General features: G+C 50.8%; 1 annotated feature.

The window, feature by feature from the left end:
• Positions 2,429-3,082: an enhancer, noted in NCBI's record as "H3K27ac-H3K4me1 hESC enhancer chr1:30702893-30703546 (GRCh37/hg19 assembly coordinates)". NCBI's record gives its function as "activates a minimal SCP1, AML or CMV promoter by ChIP-STARR-seq in primed H9 embryonic stem cells {active_cell/tissue: H9 hESC(primed)}" and the evidence as "EXISTENCE:reporter gene assay evidence [ECO:0000049][PMID:30033119]".

Raw genomic sequence — 8,958 nt, 5'->3', positions numbered from 1 at the left:
AATATTCTCAAATACAGAAAGGACTGTCCTGTGGAAGAGGGAGTACATGCCCTCAGTGTGGGCCAAAGGAAGGTATTTCAACAGCCAAAGCTGTCCAGAGGTGGAATGAGCTACCTCCAGAGGCGATAAGCTCCCCCGCTATGGATATGCAAGTAGTAATTAGGTAACTACTTAGTGGGGGTCATAATATCAGGACAAACTGGACTGGAATGACAGTTGTTGTGCTTTTTTCAGGACAATTTCACCTCTCTCTGACCCAGTCTCTCATTTGAAAAAATGGGGATTATAAAGTTACCCACCTCTTTGGGTTACTGTGAGAATTAAATGAGATAGTATATGTAATACACTACATGCATGCTCGGCTGGGAGCTGATGATTTTACCATCAATGCTTGATTTTTATGGAGAGGATTCTGGCATCAGATGAGGTCTTGTAGCTTTGCCCACTTCCAGCACTTGGTGTCTTTAGAAAAGATCTCTCTATGAATGCTCTGAGAATTAGGGGACTGTGCCCACTATCAATTTATTGCCTCTTAGCTCAAATTTCTTCTTTATCTTGTTTTTTTGATACTGAAGCTGGACACCGAAAATTTCTTCTATGCCAGGTGATGTAATGTTACACCTGGTCTGTAGGGGGTGCTGGGGAGACACTGCAAGGCTATAGAAGAGGATGGGACTTCTTGTCCGGGTTCTGGGTTTTCTTTGCTTCTTGTTCCTGTGGCAAGACTGCTGGTGGCATTAGAGTGACCCGGTGGCTCTCACCTTCCAGTGAGCTTTGTTATCACCCAGAGGGTGGCTTCCTACTCACTAGCATTGGGCCACTGACTAAGGACCATTTCTAGTTTGTGGCATCCCCGGGAACTTCTCCTGTATCTGCTGGGCCACAGTCATACCATTTCCAACAATGCTGAATCTTGGCCTTGAACAATGTGACTCTCTTCCAACATCATTCCTTCCTTGGGGACTCTTCTTTGGCCCTAGAGGTAGTAGGCTCTCCCTGCATTTTCTATTTCTACATTTATTAGCATCCTATTTTATTCTATTTAGTAATTAATCATCTTTTACTAGTTAATAATTCTTTAAATTTTCCCTGTTCAAATTACTTTTGTGATTTCTGTCTCCTGATTGGACCCTGATATGTGGTATCCACCACTCTCTGTGGTATAAATACTCCCGCCATGGCCAATTTCAGATGAGCAATGCTATGTCACTAAATGTGAAGTTTGGGAGAGACACGGAATAACACATCATTATTTAATATTCCTACCATACACATGCAATGTGAGTAAATCATCTCACTAGCATACACAGTGGTAAAATATTATGACGTAATTAGGAATTGATGACTTTTGAGTGTTTATTGCCTTTGGGTTTTTTTTGTTTGTTTGTTTGCATTCAGGACAACTATTGCCTTTGTTTTTAATGTAATTTATTACATTGTAAGTTAATATCATTTAATTGTTAACATTGTCTGTGTTTAACAACTGGCTGGCAGAGCTCCTGAGCATTCATTCATCATCAGCTCTAGCACACTGCTGTCCCCATGCTTGTGGCCCCATCACCTTGGTTCTTGATTGTATAATTATGGAAAAAGAAACTTGCCTAAATCCTCGGGTTTGTGAAACTACCCAATGCGAAGGCCAGGCGGTCGGCCCCCGCCTCACTCGATCACCCCTCCTAATGCAGTATTTGACACTTTCAATTTATTTTTTACTTCCTTTATTATGAGAAATGATTAAATTTCCAGCATAAATACTCCTTTGCCAAACTGAATTCATCACAGTGTGGGAAGGCAGGGAGAGGCCTCTGGGACTTTGAGCTTCACAGTTAACCCTTCGGCCCTCATGGAGGCCATTACAGGGAGGGCACTGGGTTTTGGAGGCCTCTCTGGACGACCCTACTTGGAACCTCACTGGCGGTCACCTAACCGCTTTGCCCTTCTGTAGCCTCACTCTGGTGGTGGGATATAGGGAGTCACTCTGCCTCTCCTTCCCATCCTCCCTCAGTCCTCTGATCTGCCTCCTGAAAGGTCTCCCCTGGATCAGATTCTCCTGCCCTACCTGGTCCGTGGAAGAGAACAGTGCCGATATGGTATTTTGGTTTCTTCCTTCCCTACTGCCCAAGCAGGTGTGCAATGACTGATGTTCACATTGAAAGGGGACATGGGAACAAATAGGCTGTTCACTAACGTGCTCACAGCCTTCAGGGAGCTATGCAGCTTCAGGGCTGAGTCAGGGGGGTCTCCTCCCATCACTGCATGGGGCTGATTTGTGGCTCTGCTGAATTTAGTCACCTTCTTTAGACTCCAAAATGCACTTTAATGTCAGTTTTGAAGACTTCCAAACCTTGGGTGTGAATTCTGCTCCAGGACTCCTCCTGGAACAGCCTGGTCAGAGTTTCCTTTCTGTCCTCTCCTGGTCTAAAGCCCTTTCCTCCAACAGTTGGCTGGTTAGCACTTGTTAATGGATCTAATAATTTCTTGGAATTGATTTTCTCATATAGAATATACCTGGGAGAAATAAAATAACCATCAAAGAACCTTAAATGAACTACACTCTTGTCAAGAGAAAAAAAGCAATCCACTTGGAGCATGAACTATGAGGGAATAAGGATTTGCTGTGCACCAAGACGGAGGGTGAGGAGGGGGCCCTTCGCGCGGCTGAGCTCATTACACCTTGGGTCATTTTCTCTGCCCTGTGATGCGGCCTGTCTCTGCTCTGCTCCCCACTCAGCCCTGTCCCCACAGGGAGAGGGGATGTCTGACTCACTCTCCTACCTTCTCTGAGGGTTGATGGTTTTGCCTTGGAGAACAGAGGTGGGAGGGGTTCTGCTCTCCCGTCAACACCCCTGCCTCTGTTACCAGCGGGTCTTTGTTCTTAGAGCTCCCAAGATGGTGGCAGGCGCTCCCAAGATGGTGGTGGGCCGCTCCCAAGATGGTGGTGGGCCGCTCCCAAGATGGTGGCGGGCCACTCCCAAGATGGCAGCAAGATGGTGGCGGGCTGCTCCCAAGATGGCCGCAAGCCTTTTGTTCTCTGACCTGGGGTTCTTGGCCTCATGGATTCCAAGGAATGGAAACTTGGGCCATGTGGTGAGTGTTATACCTCTATTAGAAGCCAAGGGTCACTGAAGAGAATTGTGGAACCCAGCGACTAGTGTTCAGTTTGATTAGGATGAACCTGGGCACTTAGCTGTGCAGGAACAATGGCGAGCCTCTAGCCCTATGGGGAGCGGCAATCGGCGCCTCACTGGATCAGAAGCACAGTGGACACCCTGCCGGATCCGGAGGGGTGGAAGTCAGCAGTGGGTCTGCAACAGCATTGATCAGCAGTGGTGGACAGGGAGCAAAAGCTCAGCTCGAGCCGGAACAAACATGGACCAGAAGAGTGTGCTGTTGCAAGATTTAATAGAGTGTAAACAGAGCTCCCATCCAACAGGAGGGGACCCAAAGGGGGTTGCCCAATCCAGCTCAAATGCCTGGGTTTATATCCCAATCATTTTCCCTCTCCCTGTGCTCTCTGGCGATAGATGATTTGATTATTTCTTTACCTCCTGCTTTTAGCCTAATTGGTATTTTAGTGAGCTCTTTTTACTACCTGATTGGTCAGGTGTGAGCTGAGTTATAAGCCCCGTGTTTAAAGGTGAGTGCGGTCACCTTCCCCAGCTAGGCTTAGGAATTCTTAGTTGGCATAGGAAGTCCAGCTAGTCTTGTCTCTCACCTCTGCCACCCATGCCTCTGCCTTCTCTCTCATAGGCCCCATCAGCTGAGGAATGAGCTCCCAGACCTTCCCACAAGAGAGGAGATGGAAAGAGTGAGGCAGACAGGGCATGGGATGGCAGGCTGTTCTGAAAGAGTGCCAGGATAGAAATGCAGGCTGTACAGTGAGGAGTAGGTCCAGAGAGGGATGGGTTCAGTTGGTTGCCAGGGCCCAGGGCTCCCCTCTGACAGGTGTGGTCCCAGCCCTGGCTACACAGTGAGTTCCAGAATGCATTCCAGTGGCAGGACATGAGCTGCTCATACACTTTCTGGCCTGGGTGGAGTTAACAGCCTGAGCCTGGATCAGAGAAGGACGGAGATGGAGCCCTGTTTACGGAGCAAGACTTGGCACATCGGATCCATGATCCCACTCAAACTTAGTCTCACTTCCTGGATGGATTGCCGAGGATGGGCTTAGGCAGGTGACCTGTGAGCATCCAAGAAGAGGAGTCGGGAGGGGAGGCTGGACTCCAGGGCCTCTGGGATTTTTATGTGCAAGTACATGCCTTGGCGTTTTGTGCTGGTGCCCTTCATTTCCAGCAGGGCTGAGAGCTGAGGCTAGCAGAGATGTCTTGACCATGCGCTTACTTAACATACATTTGACTGAGGTCCTACTATGAGCTGAGCACTGGGGAGCAGTGGCAAAATATAGACGCGACCCCTGACTTCTCCAGGCTTAGAGGTAGATGAATGTATAAGTGCTTTTTGTAGTTTATCAAGGGGAAAACTAGGTTCCAAAAAAGGTATTATTTAGAGGTGAGGAACCTGGGATTCAGGGAGGATTGAGTAACCTGACTTAAGCCTCACATTTAGTAAGTGGCAGAACAGGAAGCAGGGCTCACCTCCCAAGCCTGCACGCCTCCCAGTGGGCACTGCTGCCACGTGGGCACCCACACACTCCACTGTCCACGCAGCCACTGCTCTAGGGGAAGCGTGCGGGTGAAAAGAGGTTCTTCCTGTCCTTATTCTCTGTCTTTCTTCCCTAGGGGTGGAGTGGAGCAGGCTAGGCTGGGCCCAGTTTTGGGGCTGGCTTTAGGGCTGGACAACTGTTCACCAGCACAGTCCAGGAGGAACCTGGGGCCTAAGCACCTGAGCACTGGGGAGGCCAAATTCCATGATCAAAGCAGAGGGGCTGGGGATGGACCAGCCAAGGGAAAGAGCACCCAGGTCCGGCCTGGCAGCTCCAGGTATCCAGATAGCATCAGAGAAGGGCCTCCCAAGAGGTGCCCCAATCCCCAGCAGTGTCCCCTGCTGCCCACCTTTGTGGGCCTGGTGGCGTCTAGACTGGGCTGGGCCCAGGTGCAGTGCAAGGGCTAAAGGGGGTCCCATGCCTGTGTCTCCCGGCATCCTAGTGCTGTTGATGCTCTAGCCACCTCTGTGGCACCAGCCCATACCAGGCCATTTGGCCCCAGAGACATGGACCTGCCTGTTTACTCTAAACAATGTGGCACCCCTGCTTGGCCCTGGCACCTGCAGGACAGCAAGGTGCACCCTGCATGGGGAGCTGTTCAGCCCTGATGGAGGCCATCACAGGCTATTGCAGCGGCTGCAGAGTGGGGCCTCCATTTGCATGTAAGGGAGGTGGGATGCTTTTAATTATTAGCAGCAGGTCTTTGTGTTTACCTCCTGATTCTTTCCTTGAAGGTAATAATTAAAGAAGGCGTATTAAGGAAGTAACAGCCCTGGGGCTCAGAGGGGGAGAAGATGGGGTGTGCTGTAGACCTAGGAGGGGCTTGGCCACCAGGCAGGAGCTGCTGAGGGATGGAGGCTCTCCCATTGCCCAGGCTGTTACCTGTGGGGAAGAGAGGCCCCCAGTCTTGTCTCTGCACTTTCCTTGGAAAGGCTGGGAGGGGGAGCAGGGGATGGTGCCCTGGAGGAGGAGTCAGGCCCACAGGGCTTCCCATTCCGACTCCACCACTTCCTTTCTGTGTGACTTTGGGAAAGCCGCCTCCCCTCTCTGGGCCCTTTCCTCATCTGTAGTTGGGGACGGTGCTTCCATCAGCCCCTTCCTCCCAGGGTGGTTGTGGAGATGAGCCCTCCAATAGGCACAAATGGACACCAGGAGTGCGTGGCAGTGAGTGCAGTGGTTGGGGCAGGGGCTGGAGGCAGTCACAGGTCTGGGATTTAGATCCAAGCTGTGAGCTCAGGCAAGTTCCTCAACTTCTCAAGGTCTCAGCTCCCTCAGCTGAAAAATGGGTTCATAATAGCCCTTTCCTTCAAGGGTAGTGATGAGAATTAATGAGGAGGTGCACACAGCCTGACACAGCTAAGCCCCAAACCAGCAGCAACTGCTACCCTTGCTGTAGCAATGGCTGTGGTTGAAGAGTCAGAGGAACACTGGCACTCCTGGTCTCCATCAACCCTGACCCCCCAGGTCTGAATAGCCTGGTCCTGCTCTGCTCTGCCCTCTCTGCTTCGGGTACTCCCTCAAATACAGTGTCTTTATTGAGAGTGGCCTAGGGAAGGGAGGATGTGTTGCTTACGCCTGGAGTTTGAACTACTTATTCCCAAACATTGTTATCTGTGGTTATCAGTAGAAGCCATTCGTTGCTTCTTTTTTTTTTTTTTTATGTTTTACAAGGGCAGTCCTACTTGAATCAAGTTCCAGAATGAGAGTACACAGCTTCGAAAAGCAGTGTGTAGCAGAAGACGAGAGGGTGTGTGTAAAGCTATGTTTCTAGAATATACCAAAGGAAATAGACATAACCCCAACGTGGCCTTGCAGACCCTCAATGCTGCTGCATACCCGGGGCAGGCGGCTACTTCCTCCAGCTGACTTTGGGAATGTCATAATGCTCCGTGAGTGTGTCCAGGTGTCCGTGGAAGTCCTCCTCTGCTTGTGGGTTTTGGATCATTAGGTGCTTCTTGACTAACTAGTCTAAAGCAGAGTTGTATGAGACGTTCTATTCTGACTTCTAAACATTTTTTGGAATATGGCATTTCTGAATGATTGGCAGCTGGAAAGTAATATCCACCATGCACTCACTATGGGCCAGACCTTGGCTAAGTATGAGATACTTGTTACATAATTTTTCCAATAACACAGTGAGGTGGATGGTGTTGGCACCAATTTAGACATGAGGAAACTCAGCTTCAGAAGGGCAAGTAGCCTTGTGGGCTAGCAAGTGGAGCTGTGCAGGGGAAAATGATCAGCATTTCTCAGCAGCCATGAATTACAGTCCCTAGTTTCCAGATACAGAAATTGATGTCCAGAGAAGTACAGTGACTTGCCCAAATCACGCGGCTAGGGAGTTACAGAATCAGATTCCTGCTGGACTCCAGGCTCCACGGTCTCTGCACACTTCCAGCCTCACAAGTTTTTCTTTGGCTTGCCTTTCCTCCTCCCATTTGTCCACATACTGCCAGCAGACTAGGGAGGGAAAAAGGAAGCTGACTTCCCTGAAAGGAGAAGTAATGGTCCCAGGGCTGGAGGAAGGCCGGGTTGATGCCCTCAGTGCCTGCGCGTTTGCAGCTTTCCCCTGGAAGCAGGCACGCTTCCCCTCTAGAGACAGGCCTGGGAAGTCAGCAGGCTCCAATTCCATACTCAATTATTCAACACAAATAAGAATTGAATTAAAATTTCATGACTCCATTGCTTTTTACCCAAGCATCTATCTGAAAGTGAAGACATTTGTTTGAGTCCAACAGTCTAATTGCTGAAATCTTCATCCGAATCCTTTCAACTTCCATAAATCATTTTGGATAACAAGCTACCTTGTAATTTCCACAGAGTTCAAAGTGGAGCAGGCCTCTCTGCAGACACAATGCCCCAGGGGCTGTTGGTTGAACGAGTCCCTCTTGAGAACAGGGCTGGGGTTTCACCCAGTGTCTGACGGCCAGATGGTCACAACCTCCGGTTTTAAGAGACAATCTCTGACATTTGCTCAGCGGGATCAATAGGATGATTCCAGGTGAACAGCAGCCGGGGAGGATTTAGGAGGTGGACTGCAGCACGAGGTTGTCCCTGGAGGTTACTGGAAACCACATCTCCCTAGACAGGGCCAGTGGGAGGGAGGGACAGATGTGCGTTCCCTTCTCTGACCCTTCAGTTTCCTTAGGGGCAGGTGGGTGACCTTGGGGCAATGGTGGACTGCAGCTCAAGGTTGTCCCCAGAGGTTACTGGAAACCACATCTCTGTAGACAGGGCCAGTGCGAAGGAGGAACAGATGTGTGTTCCCTTCTCCTCTGACCCTTCAGGTTCCTTAGGGGCAGGTGAGTGACCTTGGGGCAATGACTCATTCTCTCAGTGCCTCAGTTTCCCCACATGGAAGGCAGAATGAGTGAATCCTCCTGTCAGGGTGGTTGTGAGGGCCACGGGGGTGGGGCTATGGGCAGCTCTCAGCATGGTTCCTGGCAGCAGGTGCTCAAATCTGTTAGTGCCAGTGACTCGAGTTGGGTGCACAGATGACCGTTGACGGGGGTGAGGTGTGATGTGGTACCCTGACTTCCAGCCCTCACCTGTCCCACTACTGACCATCTGAGGAGGCCCCGGGCACCCCTGGGCAGCAGGAGAGTGGGTCGACATTGAGATAGCCCAGAGGTGAGACTCAGAGATGTGGGCAAGGGACCTTTCTGCCCAAACAGAAAAGACGGCTATGGGGCAGCCTCGACCACCGCTGATGGGAAGGAAGACTCAGCATTTAGAGAGGCAGGGGCAAGTGAGTGATGACCAGAAGGTCAGGTCAGGCATTCCAGCAACAAAGCGGACAGAGTGCAGTGTGTCTTCAGGCAGGCCAAGCTCCACCCACCACGGGGGCTGAGGGCAGGCGAGGAGGGTGGATCCTGACTGGGGGTGAAGCAGGGCATCCCTGAGATGGGAGAAAAGGCACAGAGCCTGAGTTCAGAGCCCAGCTCAGAAGGAGGCCCCCAAGTCCTAGCAGGTCCCCATGGCACTCACCCTGGAGGGCTTGCTGTGATGGAAGAAGGGATGGCACTTGGAGAAGAGCTAGGGAGCCCAGTGGGGCAAGGTCTCAGAGACTTCAGGACATGCTGTGGGGCTGTGGCCACAGGACTAACTCTGGAGAATCTCAGGGAAGTGGAAAAGTGAGGGGTGGGAGGGTCTGGACAGGATGCAGAGCTGACCTTTGGGGAATATTATGGCCAAGGAGAAGTACGGGGATTGGGTTCTGGGCCTCACCCTGCTTCTGAGTCACTGTGTGACACAGGACAAGCCACTTGGCTTCTCTGAGTTTGGTCTGCACATCT

The sequence above is a fragment of the Homo sapiens genome, chromosome 1, assembly GCF_000001405.40.
Source record: "Homo sapiens chromosome 1, GRCh38.p14 Primary Assembly".
In the NCBI taxonomy this organism is placed as follows: domain Eukaryota; kingdom Metazoa; phylum Chordata; class Mammalia; order Primates; family Hominidae; genus Homo; species Homo sapiens.
This window is presented reverse-complemented; position numbering and strand designations above follow the sequence as displayed.